The sequence below is a fragment of the Homo sapiens genome, chromosome 18, assembly GCF_000001405.40.
Source record: "Homo sapiens chromosome 18, GRCh38.p14 Primary Assembly".
Taxonomy (NCBI): domain Eukaryota; kingdom Metazoa; phylum Chordata; class Mammalia; order Primates; family Hominidae; genus Homo; species Homo sapiens.
The window spans coordinates 53,400,941-53,416,947 of record NC_000018.10 but is presented as its reverse complement, the minus strand read 5'-3'; the positions used below and the strand labels follow the sequence as shown (position 1 = coordinate 53,416,947).

The 16,007-nt window shown below is 34.9% G+C and overlaps 1 protein-coding gene across 5 annotated transcripts in view; it reads right to left on the bottom strand.

Moving 5' to 3' along the window:
* Positions 1 to 16,007, bottom strand: part of DCC (DCC netrin 1 receptor) — a 1,195,703-nt gene that overhangs the window by 118,952 nt on the left and 1,060,744 nt on the right. For all 5 annotated transcript variants that reach the window (NM_005215.4, XM_017025568.2, XM_017025569.2 and 2 more), the window contains 3 exons: positions 14,055 to 14,162; positions 6,302 to 6,496; positions 792 to 824 (listed from right to left, as the gene is read on the bottom strand). In NM_005215.4, the coding sequence (NP_005206.2) occupies positions 792 to 824; positions 6,302 to 6,496; positions 14,055 to 14,162 (336 nt within the window). The remainder of the gene's footprint in view (positions 1 to 791; positions 825 to 6,301; positions 6,497 to 14,054; positions 14,163 to 16,007) is intronic.

The following is a 16,007-nucleotide window of genomic DNA, read 5'->3' as shown; positions in this document are numbered from 1 at the left end:
AAAAAAATAAAACTCATAAACTATTCATTGTCTCCCTCAGCTTTCTACTAATTGTCCTTTGTGTAAAGATAACGGAATCCTAATTTATCAATCAGTCTACAAATCACGGTAATAGTAAGTTCATATCCACTTATAAGTTGATGGATAACTCTTATTTATCTCCATTTTGCCTTTGTGTAAAACTTTACCTGTTTCTCTATACAAATCAGCTTTTAGTAAATAAATAAGGAAAAGGGAGAAAATACTGTGCTGTGAGTCAAATGAGCATCTGATTCACTGAATAAGAGCTTTCTGGCTTCAAAATGAACAATGATAATGCCCTAAAAAAGGTGACCCAACTTTGATTTTATATATTAAAAGAAGCTCATTGCAGAGGAAAATCACACATAATTTACGGGTTTTCTCTGTAGAGCTACAGAACTTTAATCCATAGCTCAGGAAAGGGTGCAAGAGCAGCTTGAAAATTATGCTGAGCTTAATTATACTTAATGTGAATTATTCAGAAGTGCAGACAGAGACTAAAAATTTATTTCATACAAAGAAGCTTGACATTTTAATTGGTCCTTCAGAATGGAGACAAAACAATTTCCTCTCAAGAAAATTTACATCTTCCTTATCAGAGCCGCAGCCTCAGCCAAGCAGAACTTCATTAACAAGATTAATCGTCACGCCAGTGTCTGCTTCATCAGGTGTATGGTCCAGGTGAAAAGAGGAATATAAAGTAATGACTGACATGTCTAACAGACAGGATTGATTCAAGGAACACAAAATGACAGATTGAGCCACCATACCTTGGTCATTAGCCATTTTGTCAGGGTGTTCCACTGCGGGGGAAAAAGAAATAACATTATTAGACTTTGACAGTTCCTAGCAAGAAAGCTGACATATCAAACCAACAGTTCTTTTTAGTAAGTTTTTATTTCAAAGCTAGTGCCCTCTTGAAATAAAATTGATAAGGACCCAAACTTACATGTTTATTTCTATTAAATAAGTATTCAGAGAAAAAAAATTGAAAATAATGTTTTTGCTGTACAAATTCATCCTAAAATTATCTTACTTTTCATATCCCTCTAAACATAAACTGAGAACAATTATATAAATTTAATTAAAACTAGAATTAACAGTAAAAAAAAACTGCATGCAATTACCAAGTAATTATCACCCATATATATATTTAAGAAAATTCAGGAAGCTATTTTCTTGTATGTGACTATTTTTTAAACAACTTCACCAATTCTCACATAGACTGGGTAAAATAATTGGCAACCATAAATATGGTACAATATAATCTAAATATCTTGATAAACTTTAGCCCTTGTGAAGATAGCTCCTGAGTTGTTGTTGACAACTTCAGAGGACTTACAAGTAATAGTCTCAAAAATGACTTTTTGAAATTTAAATTTAAAAATATAAAAATTAAATTGCTAAATTTTGTTTTAAAGATGACTTTTTTTTTCTGCTAACCAGATGAAACTAAATAAGAGGTAAATCTCTAGTATTATCACATTTCTGAAAATTACATGGCATTTTGACCAAGGCAGATCTTCATAAGCTTCCCTCCCTCAATTACTAGTAGAATTATTTTTACCTAGACTTGACCGTCTTTGAGCTTTGAGTCTTTTGGGCGTATTTAACTCACTTGATTCCATTCAAACTTGATAGGTAGGATACAACACTTGCCGATTGCTTCCTGTATATGTCTCAGTAAAATTCACATAGAGAAAATATAATAGGCAGCAACTGATAATACAGTCTCTCATCAGATGTGGCGCTATTATAGCAAATCAATCATCATTTGAAAAATACCTTAAACGCCCTACAGGTGGTGGTCCTTCTTTTTCTAAATAAAGCAGCACAAATCATTGCCTAATAAGAATGTTTAGAACTGAAATACGTAGATATTGATTCTGTTAACGAAAGCCCCTTTCAGATGAACAGGGTTTATGTCTATTACATCCTAAGAGTGATTTCTAAATCAGAAATCAATTACAATTTCTTTCATTTAAACATAACATATACACATATTCTATGAAAAGATATCTTGATAAGTAGTAGATTTTGAATTGTGAATTACTCTTTGGGAAACACTACATATACCAGGATTTTTATTATTGCTCTGTCACCCAGGCTGGAGTGCAGTGGTGCAATCTCAGCTCACTGCAACCTCTGCCTCCTGGGTTCAAGCAATTCTCCTGCCTCAGCCTCTCAAGTAGCTGGGACTACAGGCATGTGCCACCACGCCTGGCTAATTTTTTGTATTTTTAGTAGAGATGTGGTTTCACCATGTTAGTCAGGATGGTCTCGATCTCCTGACCTCGTGATCCACCCGCCTCGGCCTCCTAAAGTGCTGGGATTACAGGTGTGAGCCACCACGCCCGGCCAATGTTTATAATTTTACAATTCTATAAGCGTTATTTTAAAAAGTTATTGAGATATAATTGAAAAGTAAAAAGCTGCCCATATTTAATGTATGCAATTCAATGAATTTGAGAGTAAGGATATACTTATGAAACCATCACCACCTTCAAAGCCACAGACTTGCCCCAAACTCCCAAAGTTTCCTCCCACCCATTTTATTATTATTATTATTTATTGTGGTAAAAACACAGTATATGATCTACCACCTTACTAAATTTTAAGTACATAATACAGTTATATTATTTATAGGAACTATGCTGCATAGTAGAGCTGCAGAATTTATTTATCTTGACACTCTCTGATGGGCTAGTGGTTAGAATTTGGTGCTCTCTGAAAGCTTTAAATAAGTTTTATGAAATCTTGTACCTTGTCAAGATTTAACAAACATTTTTAAAGGTTTACCAGCCATTTAATTTAATCACCACAGTTTAATTTTATCTAGAGTTTCTCTTCTGTTTCCCATTGAAAATTAATGGCTTCTCAAATACATTTTATTATAGTGTTTTATTATAGTATTGATAAAGATGCTTTTGACAGGCAGTTGCATTATATGTAGCTTATGGACAGGAATACGATTTTGAACTGAGATCCTAACACAGCTGTTGAGAAAGGACAGTATGTTGTTGGAAGTGCTACAGGTCCCCAGCAAGAATGACCTGATCCTTGACAAGATATGTCAAGGTCATAAGTGCCCACCCAATCCAGGAAGTATGTAGGTTTGGCAGCCAGACTGGGACACATTTAAGAAACTATCCTCATCAGCATCTCATATTTAGGTGAGAATTCTTTAGAATTATGTCAAAAAAGACGAGACTACCACCCTTATCTCCATTCTTTGTCTGCCCTTTATCTTTAATCATATACATGCATTGTCTGCAGTCTAAGATATTTTTAGCAAGGGATAAATAACCACATGTAATGATAGACAAACCCATTCTCATTTTTATCTTTTGAATTTATTTTTCTACTAGCAAAGCTGCACTGAATAGAACTTGAGAAATTTTGAATGTCTCAAAATGTTATCTACTGAAGAGTATTTTCCAACAGGGACCATATGGATTCTCATAACTACCTTTTATTAGAGACAAAAATGGCTTACATTTGTGCCTTGATTTTTTTCTATCATATGTTTCTATCATTTGTCAAGAAAAATCATGTATTTTTGTCATAAAAGAATTTGACGACTAGAACTTTTTTCTATACTGGTCCAAAGCTTTCAGTGCTATATTCTTGGATAGGGGAGAGGCACATTTCAGAATGATGACTAAGGATGCCCAGAGAATTTACTGTACTCTATTGGGCTTTCACTCTGAATACCACTCTTTTGTGTGTAGGAAGTGACTCCCTCCCTCCACCAGAATCCTCTGTGGTCTACTCCATTGGGAGCATCCTTCCTCTCTATTACCCGATAGGCCAGCATGGGGAAGCATGCTTTATCAGCAGGAAAAACCCACAGGATAGGGCAGAGATAGACATAAGTCTTCCAATAGTTTGACAGTGTGTATGTATCCCAGTGGGACCCTGGGGAGGATTAGTGGAAAGGTGGGTATGTGCAGGTTCCTATGTGGTCAAGTAATCAAGGTCAAGATTCTTTTAATTAACATTCCAAAGAAAGAATTAGATACATCATATATGTGTACCTACATAAGTTTACAGTAAGATAATCCCTTTCTAATTACAAATGTCCTTTTAATTAAACAGTGATTATTGACTGAGTTTCCTGTACTTCTCTGACTGGTTGTTAATATCAAAAAGACCAAATGCTAGCCTCTAGAATAAAATGCTGCGATCCTTGCAAAGGCTAAATATGAAGGAATGACGTTCGTGGACACCTGCCTGGCACAAGCATTACTATGAAATACTTGCCCATTACCCAGTGAGTACTGGGAGTTTTCTCAGCTTCGGGACATCTAAGCCTTTGTCTCAGGCAAACAAAGTTACATTCTGATGAGCACAGTATGCTCTGCTGCAGCTTTGGGAAGTGAAAATCTTAAATCAGAGAGCAATAGCATGATTTTATCTTTGGTGTAGATTTGGCTCTACACCAAATCTTTAAAATGCTTATGTTGTAGCTTGAAATCTCTTATGATGAGTAATTTATTTGTCTTAGAACATTTGCCATTGTAGGTGTCTTGTAAGATGTATACATGTACAAAATTATTAATAAAAGTGACCAATATCAATATTTCTGAGTAATTTTAAATGATCAAAAACTTATTTTAGCATATAAACAACATGTGTTTAAAATAGAATTGACTATTATCGAGCATGACATTTAGGGTAGACAATATTAAACTTCAAATCAGGGTATTAGAAATAACTCTTTGAACCATTATGTCATAGAACAAATTCCTGAACTTGTTCTTAGTTTTCTAGATGTGTTTAGGGCACTTAGGGTAAACAGTACCAAATGAAATACTGAGCTCATTAAACAATTCCTGGGATGGCTATCAATGTGGGCCTGCAAATCTTATGATAACTCATCACTCTGCTGTTTAACACATTTGGATGCCTTAAGTCATCTTCAACCTTTCCTCAGATCTCTCAGTTGGCAAACATTATGAGTATGAAATTAATTTGGCACTCATCTATAGATAAAAATGAAGCATTTGCAAAACACTATCTAGTTACATTTCATGCTGCCACAAAATGAATAACGAGTTGCCTTTTGATTGCTCATTTGGAGTGAAACCTGATTTAGACATGAAGTCCTCAAAATTTAGATGACAAAGATGAACTCATTTCTATCCTACTTTCCTCCCAACTTCTACTCCGCCATTAAGAACTGTCATGCAAGCTTTGGCTGAATGCTTGCTTGTGTGTTGTTGGCAAATTTTCAGATTAGCTGCTACCAAAACCCAGCTTTTGAATAGCTCACTCATCAGAATTCAAAAGTCCCTTATTTACTAGGGTACCTTTCCTAGAAGATTTGAGGAATAGGCTATACAGTTATACTAAGACTCTTCTTTTAGTATGTCAAACAGAAGAAGCCAATCATACGTGTGTTTCTAATTTTTTACTTTACTATCATGTATTAAGATTTCTGCCAGATATAGAGGTATGATGTGGTCACAGATTTAAGAGCTAAGTTATCCTTCTTTAGAACAACACATATCATGCCTTAAATATACAACTTTAAATATTAGTTGTGAAACTTATTACAAATTATTCAATTGTTAAATGAATTAAACATTCAAATTATTGTAATCATTTGAATGTTTCAAATTATTTTCAATTGTTAAATGACTCTTCAAACCATTTGTCCCCCAGAAAAATAATACTGTGCTCTAAAATAGTAAGTACTTACATGAAAATATTTTGATGTAATCACTACTATTCAGCTTTAGTGTTTCTCTGTATGAACATTTTTTCTTCTAGATATCATATTGCAACTTTTTTATAGTTTCTACCTTGGTTCTTTACAATAAATAGACTTTTTTTTTGGTTTGGAACTTTCTGTCTTGTCATATCAAAATTTTCTTTAATATATAAGGGATAATAGTACCTGAAAGAAAATACCTAAAGTCGGCAATAGTATGCTATTCACATAATTCAATACATTTTAATTTTTATCCCCTTACATAAAATGGCTGAAGCATTTCATTATATTTTGAATAGAACCAATATACATGACATCAATAAACTTCTAGCAGGACTGTAAATGAAAAAAGTCATGTTAAATATGTTTGCCATGTGCTGATGGCAGATCTTTCTTTGATATGTCGGCTTTGAGCATAAAAAGCTACATTTTAATTTATTTTGAATGTCCACTGCAGCCATGTTGCTAATAGAGATGGTGCAGGGCCATTTCTAACACAGAGTGCAAAGCTATTTTATAACAATCCCACAGGAAAAGAAAAGCATAATAGGAAATTATTCAAACCTTTCAGAGTCCTGAAGAGGATAGGATCAGAGAGTGGCCCCACTCCTTTTGAATTTCGTGCTTGAATTCGAAAGTAATACATAGTATCAAGGTTGAGATCCATGATTTGATGAGTAAGCCTATCACCACTGATTGTTTCCATAATCCAGTCATCAATTGGGATGTTCTTGTCCAAGGTATAAAATAAGATGTAAGCTGCATAAATAGACAAATGTGACTTAATTTGGTGTCCTACACGCTGCAGTTCTGCTTCCAAACACCCAGGTTTCCCAAATGTAATTTACAATAATTATTATATGTCCACAATCTGTAAACTACAGCAGTTCTGTAAGTAATGTCTTTTTTTCATAATGCAAGGATTAGATAAATAATTGCTGCAATGTACAGAATCAGAAAATAGAATAAGCTGTTAGAAGTAAAAATATCTGCCACATTTAAAAATGTGTGCTTTCTGCTACCTATAAATCCTGATTATTAGTTTGTTCTAATATGAAAGCATGATGAAAAATGTAAAACAGAGATAACAAGTCTGTATAATTTTCCCTGTAGTCCAATGATGAAAATAAACAATATTTATTTTGGCTTGTGCTTAATAAAAATGTATTGGAAGGTATAAAATGCTATACATGTTTAAAGTGTAATATAAATAAATGATATTTGATCACTGTAACAACTTAGTGAGGTTGCCAGGGGCGGTGTTGCTTTCCTTTCACAGACGGTGAAGCTGCAGGTGACCCAAACTGATTGGTAAAAGGTCTGGGCAATATTCTTTACCACCAGACTATGTATGGGATTCTTTACCAGTATACTATTTCTCCCAGTCCAGTCTAGCTTGTCAAAGAAATAAGTATTGCTGGATAACTGTACATGATCTAGTTATTATCTCAGATATTAATAACCTATGTTTATATAGTATTATTGATTTTCTGTGTTAGGGGATATGTTACTTGAGTGCTAGTTGTGTGTACTCAGTCATGATAGTCTAATATGCACCCGAACAAATTCATGGATTCCTGTCACATATTTATACTCTAACATTATACTTAACCAATTTGTGACCTAGCTCTAATTTAAAAACATTAATCAACAACTTTTATATTATATTGCCAGATAACACCGTAAAGGCGCTCATGATAGGTGTCATTGATAAACAAATGTCGTGCTGATCTCCATTTCTGCCACAATTCTTCAATGCTATCTATATAACATAGGCTATAAGTGTCCCTCATTCTATTTATGCATCAAATACATTCTTTGTAAGTCGTTTTCTTAAGAACAAGTGTCTTCCTTTGATTTACCTATTCTTTCCTTTTGAGTCCCTCTTGTCCCAGCTGGACTGGGGACCTTCACCCACAGGTCTTCGCAGTGGTTAAGGGTTATGTCAGAGGGTTCTCAGACTCAGAAAATAGCCATGCACACTATGTACATCTCAGCACAAACCTTCGCTACAGGAAGACTATTCTCCATTCCATGATTCTTCTTCCTTCCCGCTTATTCCCACACCATTCCACCTTTCTTCACTCCATCCAAATCCTACTCATCCATTAAGGTCTACTTTAAGGTATATCTGGCCTATGAAACCTTCCTCAATCACAAGCTCTCCTCTCCATAAACATGGTAATACACTTCAATAAAGTAAAAACACATGTGCCATTTTATATCACTCATCACTTAATCCCATAGTGCCTTATAGAATTATGCCTGGGCTTGGGGGATGCGTCACTGGATATTTTGTCCTTCTGATTACGTAGGATTAAGCAATGTTACAATCTCCAACATCTGGAAGCCCATTTCTCTTAAATTTTGAACAATGCTGAAAACTTACATCTATTTTGTATTGACTTTCACCTTTCCCCTAGGTTTGGTATTTCCCAAATCTGCGTAATCATAATAGTTACCTGAAGGATAGGTACAGATCATAAAATACAGACCCCAAGACAGGATATGTTGATTTAATACATGTGGTAAACAATCTTTGATGGCCACCAATTATCCTCATCCTCTAGTAATATCATGCCCTTGTGTATTCCTTTCTGTCGGTATGTAGATGGGCCCTAAGTCTTGTTTCTAACCGATAGAAGACAGGAAATGCAATGGAATATCAATTTCACAATTGTGTTACATAAGATCATGACATCTGCCTTGCTAGCAGATACCCGACTCTCTTCTTTCGCCTTTGATGAAGACGTCTGCCCAATGGAGAATACTTTGTGGCAGGAACTGAGGGTGGTTTCTGGCCAACAGCCATGACAACAATTACATAAGCTTAAAAGCAACTATTTCCCCTGTGAAACCAAAGATGAGACCTCAGCCAGGTGAACATTTGAATTTGCAGCCTTGTAAGAGACCCCAAAGCTAAACTGTGCTCAGATTCCAGACTCACAAAAACCATAAGATAACAAATATGTGCAGTTTTACCCTGCTACATTTGTGATAATATTGCTATACAACAATAGGCTTCTAATACTACAGGTCAAGGGTAACCTCAGTAATCTACACCCCAAATGATTACTGTGATCAACAAGGTCAGGGACATAATGGATATGTGGGATCTGTACATTTTTGGCATTTGTTGTGATGTCAATGATGAAAATATGAATATCTTGAGATGTTGAGAGCTTCGAAACTAAAAGCCTTACCAACATAAAGAATTCCACAAACCTTAAAAAGTTGTATGACCTTTCTGTCTGTTAAATATTAAACTTGGAGTTCTAAAATTCAAAAGGGATTATGAATATCGTTTGATAAAGGAGTTGTTTTCTGTCTCATGTGTGTCCATCCCTTTGTAATTCAGCCCCCATGATAAACATCAATAAAATTGCCTCATATTCTTTGAACCAGAGCAGTCTCCAATCTTGTCCATGAAGATCCACATCTCCACATCTATTAAAAAGAAGACCCTGCTACTGGAGATATATGTGTGTGTACATACACACATTTCTGAGTATACATTTCTATAAATATCCATATATTACTATGTAATATATCTAAGATAAATATGTTATAGATATATATGAAATATTTGCCTTCACTATGTTTTTATCTATGTAAAAGTTACTGAACATATATATAGAGAGAGAGTAATAGTGAATATATATATATATATATATATATATATCCAGAATAAAAATCACTGGAGATATATATATGCAGCTAAATATAAAAGATATATATAAAATTTGTATATATATATGTATATATTCTATTATGTGCATGTCCTACCTCTTCAAAAGGATAAAAACATTTCTTTAGTTCAGGAGCCATATCTTATTACTTTTTTATTCCCCCCAAAAATCTAATAAAATCATATTCACATAAGAGGTATCGAAAGTCACTTATTGAATGAAATCCTTTAGCCTGTAAGTACATAAGTTTTACATTTAGATATTTAATGAAATCGTTAAAAATTTTCATGGGCTGTTTTAAGTGCATGATGAAACTGGAAAATTGGAGAATTTTGCCCCCATCCCAGGTCAACTGCACTGATTCCCGAGTCTCCTCATTTATCAGATGATGATAAAATATTTGTCTTCACTATGTTTTTAATCTATGTAAAATTATTCACTTAAGCATTTAAAAATGACAGCTCTGGGATCAAACTAAAGTTGAAGGTGCAGACATCAGTTTCTGACAATTCCAAATTGTATCTGAGCAAATTCCTTATATATGTGGTGAAGCCTACCCTTTTCTTAAAATTTAAGAACTGAGATGGAGAATAGAAACAGACCTCATCATTCAAAAGTCTAAAAAATGGCCTCAGAGAAAACAAGCAACTTCATTGGGATGTGTATGTTTGGTATATTTGAGAGATAATAAATTCATTATTGAAGCTTACCTTATAAATTTCTATATAACCACACAGGTTGAACAAATGTACTGGTTTCTCACTACATTTCTGTACCTGTACTTTTTTTCTTTTTTCTTTCTTTCTTTTTTTTTTTTTGAGACAGAGTCTTGCTCTGTCACCCGGGCTGGAATGCAATAGCTGGATCTCGGCTCGCTGCAACACCCGCCTCCCGGGTTCAAGCAATTATCCTGCCTCAGCCTCCCCAGTAGCTGGGATTACAGGCATCTGCTATCATGTCTGGCTAATTTCTGTATTTTAGTAGAGTCGGGGTTTCACCTTGTTGGCCAGGCTGGTTTTGAACTCATGACCTCAGGTGATCCTCCCACCTTGGTCTCTCAAAGTGCTGGGACTACAGGCGTGAGCTACTACGCCTGGCCTCTTTCTCTTTTTTTTTTAAACCTCAGAATCCCTAACTCTACTATAGACACTTTTCCAGAGAAAGTAACAAAGGGAATAAAAAGATCTGCCTTCTGGAAAGCAATATCAAGTGGAAGAAATTTCTGCAAATCAGACTGAGAAGCTATATCCTGGTGGTGGGAAGAAAAGTGGTTTGATGATTTTACAAAAGGGAGACAAATTAAACTAGGCTATCAAATGACACAGAAAAAGAGAATATAACCTTACATATTAGACTGTATTAATAAGGAAACAATCTCTGAAAGACCTAACTCTTCTATTTGTGTTAGTCTCAGATCTTAAATAGTGTTGGGCACTGCATTTATTTAGGCCTATGTTTCATATCTCTGGCTATACAATAAGTCACTTGGGAAGCTTTTAAAAATTACCATGCTCAGTCCCTTCTCATATGAATTAAATTAAAATCTCAGCTGCAAATCACTGATTTAGACCAGTAGAATACTAATAAATTGGAGCAAAACATAGTGTAATAATTAAGAGTATAAACCTGAGTTTTAAATCCTAGCTCTGCCACTTCTTGCTTATTTGATTTTGGGTAAGTTATTTACTCAGGAAAGGCCTAAGCTTTTCATTTTAAAATGGAATAATAGGAATATGTAATCATTTATATCATACTAAAGATCTCAGAAGAATGCCAAGCATATAATAAATGCTTAATGTATTTTGAATCATTTTCTTCTGAAAATGTCAGTCCAAATTCCTAAGTTTCCAGTTTATGATCAGAGAATTTAGGCACTGTGATTATCTGAATTTCCTCCTTTTTTGTTTAATCTTTTTGAGTACTTATATTTAAAAACTGATGATCTGGATTCTGTATAAAGCACATTAGTAAAGCCTCACCCTAGAATGGATTTCAAACTGGAATAATAATAGCCGATTCGTGTCAGTGCCCACTGGGTATCAGGGGCTTTTCTCAGCACTGTATTACAACAATTATTCTAGTGCGGTTCTATTACTATCTTTATTTTATAGGTGAGAAACCGAGAAAGTGGGACTCAAGGATGTTAAATGACTTCCTCATGTGTCTCCCTTAGAAGCCTGAGTTCTTAACTATCCTGCTCTACTGCCTGCCATACACATGAAAGATTTAGGAAAACAAAACAATACAGAGGTTACATGAGAGCACATCCCTCCTTGGCACACATCTACCTGGTCGCACTGAGAAAGAGCTCATTTCTTTTTTTTTTTTTTTACTTTTTATTATTAATTGTTGCACTTCCACAGGAAGCTGAGAATAGCAAATTTGTGCCCTCTGCTTAGTGGTGTAGTATTTTGAATATTTTATCATTCTATTTTCTGGAAGTAATTTGAATAAATAAATCAAAATACACATGACACAGAAATTCTCTTAAGGGTTCTTATTGTTTGCTCCCTGTTAAATTGAGTAGGAATATCTCAACTTGATAATACAATTTTGTTTTCATAAATAAGCCAGGCTTTTAAAGGCAAAAGCATTGTCTCCCATACTTTTATTTTTCCACTGTGAGAGAATGGATTTTTAATAGTAAGATCCATTGAACGTATAAATCTAAGTAAAGAGTGTGGACAAAGTTTCTTTTATATGCACTGTGATTTTGGCATATACAATTTTATTGCTTAGATTAATTTGCATTTCTTTTTTTTTTAATTTTTTATTTTATTTTTTTATTTTTGAGACGGAGTCTTACTCTGTCGCCCAGGCTGGAGTGCAGTAGCGCGAACGGGGCTCACTGCAAGCTCCGCCTCGTGGGTTCATGCTATTCTCCTGCCTCAGCCTCCAGAGTAGCTGGGACTACAGGTGCCCACCACCACGCCCGGCTAATTTTTCGTATTTTTAGTAGAGACAGGGTTTCACCGTGTTAGCCAGGATGGTCTCGATCTCCTGACCTCGTAATCTGCCTGCCTCGGCCTCCCAAAGTTCTGGGATTACAGGTGTGAGCCACCGCGCCCAGTCAAATTTGCATTTCTTAATATGGGCTAGACTTCTATTTTTTTTTTTTTCCTGAAGAAGCAAAATTAAGCTTTCTTCCAGAGTTAAAAACTTATTCTATTGTTTACACTGACTGATAAGATTTACTTAAATAAGAGTGGAGAATTCAAATGAGTGGAGAATATGACTTATTTTTCCTTTGCCAAAAACATCTTTTTCTATCAGAACCTGTTTTTATTTAGACAGCTTTCTGTTTTTTTCTCCTCAGACTTATTACTGTTGATTTCCCATAAGCTTATAAATAATTGATTATAACAAAATAAAATATAAACAAATCAAAAGCTACACAACTACTGACATAGAACCAATGAAAAGAGATTATAACAATGAGGGGGAAAAAAAGAAAATTGGAATGAGCCAGTCTCAGTTTTAAAAGGCCTGGCACACTGACAAGTGAACATATAAGATCTTGGGGAAATTTTGTGCCTCACTTCTTTTTCCATATTTGTCAGCTCGAATAAAAATTCTGTTTGCTATTGTGCTAAGAGCAATTTCCTAGAGAAAACAAATTTTCAACTTAAATTTCAATCCTATTTGGAATTTTCACGTTATCTTTTCATTTTGCAAAATTCAGAAAGTAAATTACATAAAGTAAGTGTGCCTTCTGAAAGTATAATTTCCATGCTTATCTCTCTGTATCACGGGACGGCTGAATTACTTTGTTAATTTATAATAGTGCTATCCAGCTCTTGTATGCAAAAAAAGAAGGAAAAAAGGAGTGACTCTTCCATGTTCCTAACCCAATGGTTCAAGTTAATTAGACTATAATGTTCACATTTTGAGTTATACAATATTTTTCATAATAATTATATGCTATGGAGACATCTATTAAAAGCCTAAAGTGATCATTTAAATGCAAAATCTCTGATAGAACTCCATTATATTTTTCATACTAAATTAACATTACAGGCTTCTAATGGATGCTTTAATTAGGCATTGATGTTATCAGCAATATTTGGCAAAATAAAATCTGTCACTGTGAAATATTCATTATGTTCAATTTCTGTCAGTCAATATTAAGTGTTTTGTGAACTTTATGATTTAAGTAAGAAGCTAAAACCTAAGTGAGAAACTAAAAATCCCCAAACCTCCGTATGTGCCATACACACAAACACACACAAACACAGTCATTAAGCATCTTTTGTGTTTCATAATTGCCAAACAACCAGCTTCTTTATAGACATTTATACTCAGGGCACTCCATTAGAAAGTGGTCTTAATGCTTCAGAGAATGAAAAACAAAAAGGTCTATTCTAATTGAAATACACATCTTTCGTGAAGCAAATCAAATGACGTGTGTGTGTGTGTGTGTGTGTGTGTGTGTGTGTGTGTGTGTGTGCACCATTAGAAGAATTCCATGGTCAAAAGGGGAAAGAAGAAACAATCAAAAAGGGTCATGGAGTCAGCTGAGATGTAGGGACAGAATAATGCCACACGAAAGGCAGGAGCAGCTCATGTAGGGGGTAAGCAATTATAGGACAAGGGAGAGCTATGCTGGGAGAGAAAGTGGAGATGCTTACCAGTAATTTTCCCATTGGCTTCCAAGGGAGGCTGCCAACTCACAATGACGGCACGAGGCTTCCCTTCCCTAGTAATGACTGTCAAGTCCTTGGGAGCAGAGGTGGGGGCTGTGAGGTGAGACAGAGATAAGGCCTTGTCATTGGATGTGAAAGAAAATAAACATTGTTGGAAATTTCATCATGATGTTGACATTCAGAATCTATCAAGAAGTATATCATGTCTATTTTGCCATTTACAGTTTATTTCAAGGATTTGAATAAGCAAACAAGGATACAAAAATTAATAATTTTTATGGAAATCAAATGATTCCCAAGGTGTGACTATAGAGAACAGAAGAGAGTATGTGTGAATATAAAGGAGAAAAGTACAACTGGTATTTCAAGTGGGCTCACACTAAAAATAAAAGAATCATTATAAGAATGAAGAAATGTATACTTAGTGAGATTGATGATTACATATCTTTTTCTAGTTTATTATTTATTTATTTATTTTTTTTTTTTTTTGAGACAGGGTCTTGCTCTGTTACCTAGGCTGGAGTGCAGTGGTGCAATCATAGCTCACTTCAGACTCAACCTCCTGGGCTCAAGTGATCCTCCCATCTCAGCCTCCTGAGTAGCCGGATCCACTGTTGCACACCACTACTCTAATTTTTAATTTTAATTTTGATTTTTGTAGAGATGGGTCTATGTTGCCACGCTGGATGATTACATGTCTTCAGAAGAATTCTGTTACAACTGCAGGCATTTATAAATAAAAATGTCACCTAAGTCTATACTTCCTTAAAAGCCAAAAAGTTTTTAAAATGAGATAAAACTGGGGTCAAAATATCTTAGCTAGGTGACATATTAGGCATCTTCTAAACCAACAGGAAGGCACACATGAGAAATTAAAATAGAAGACGTAAAAAATAACTATGAGTGTCTTAGTATCAATCCAGCATGAAGTAAGATGGCACGAAGTCCTGCTCCTAAGACTACTTCTCCCACATGTTGTACTCAAAACAATTTTAAATATTTAAAGGTGGCAGCAAACTGGTTAAGCTAGCCAAGGATCTTCCAGGCTTCTTCCAATCTGCTCTCTCACTTTCTACGTTTTGGAAGACAAGTTTTCCTTCTGGGTAGCTCACAATGCCACAAGTCTGTTATCCACGGCAACTTTGCTACCCTTAGTCTAACAAAGGCAGATTCAGAACGTATTGGGTTCCGTGTTTGGGATCTGGAGTAATTTCCTGGTCTCCACATAAAAATTCTGTGTAGGAAAAGATAGTTAGAAATCAGTCTCTAATTCTGAACTCATCTTCACCCTATTCTCTTTCGTACTTCTGTTGGTCATATATTGCAGAATCTGGACATTATTAACACTGTATTTCTAGTATCTCTTCCTGAATAGTGTTCCAAATATGAGCCAAATAGAGGAGACATCAATCATTCCCATCTATCATACTATTTTCTTTCCAACACCGTGATCTTCAAAGTCACTGGGATTCCAGGTTAACCAAACGTGCACTTAATTTTAATCATTGACAATGTACTTAATATATTCACATTTTCAAAAAAGAAGAAGGGATGGATGGAGAAAGAGAATTAGAAGAGGAGGGGGGAATGAAGGAGAAGAAAACATAGGTGGAGTATAGTTGATCCCTTAGTAAAAAGACTGCATAGATACTAATACAGTATAAAATAACATATGCAGTCTAATATAATATGATATATATGGCTTAATGAAACCATATCCGGACATTCTTGCAAGAAATGCAGATTCATTATGGCAAAATACTAAAAAGACAATGCTGTCTTAAAGAAGGATTATTCTCACAGAGAGGTCATTCAGGATATTTTCCCGGCTATGAATAGGAAGCTAAGATATAGTCACAAAATAACTTAGATTAGTATACATCAAACGTAATAAGGAATTTTCCACTTCTGGAAGTAATTAAAATCTTTGTCTTTTTT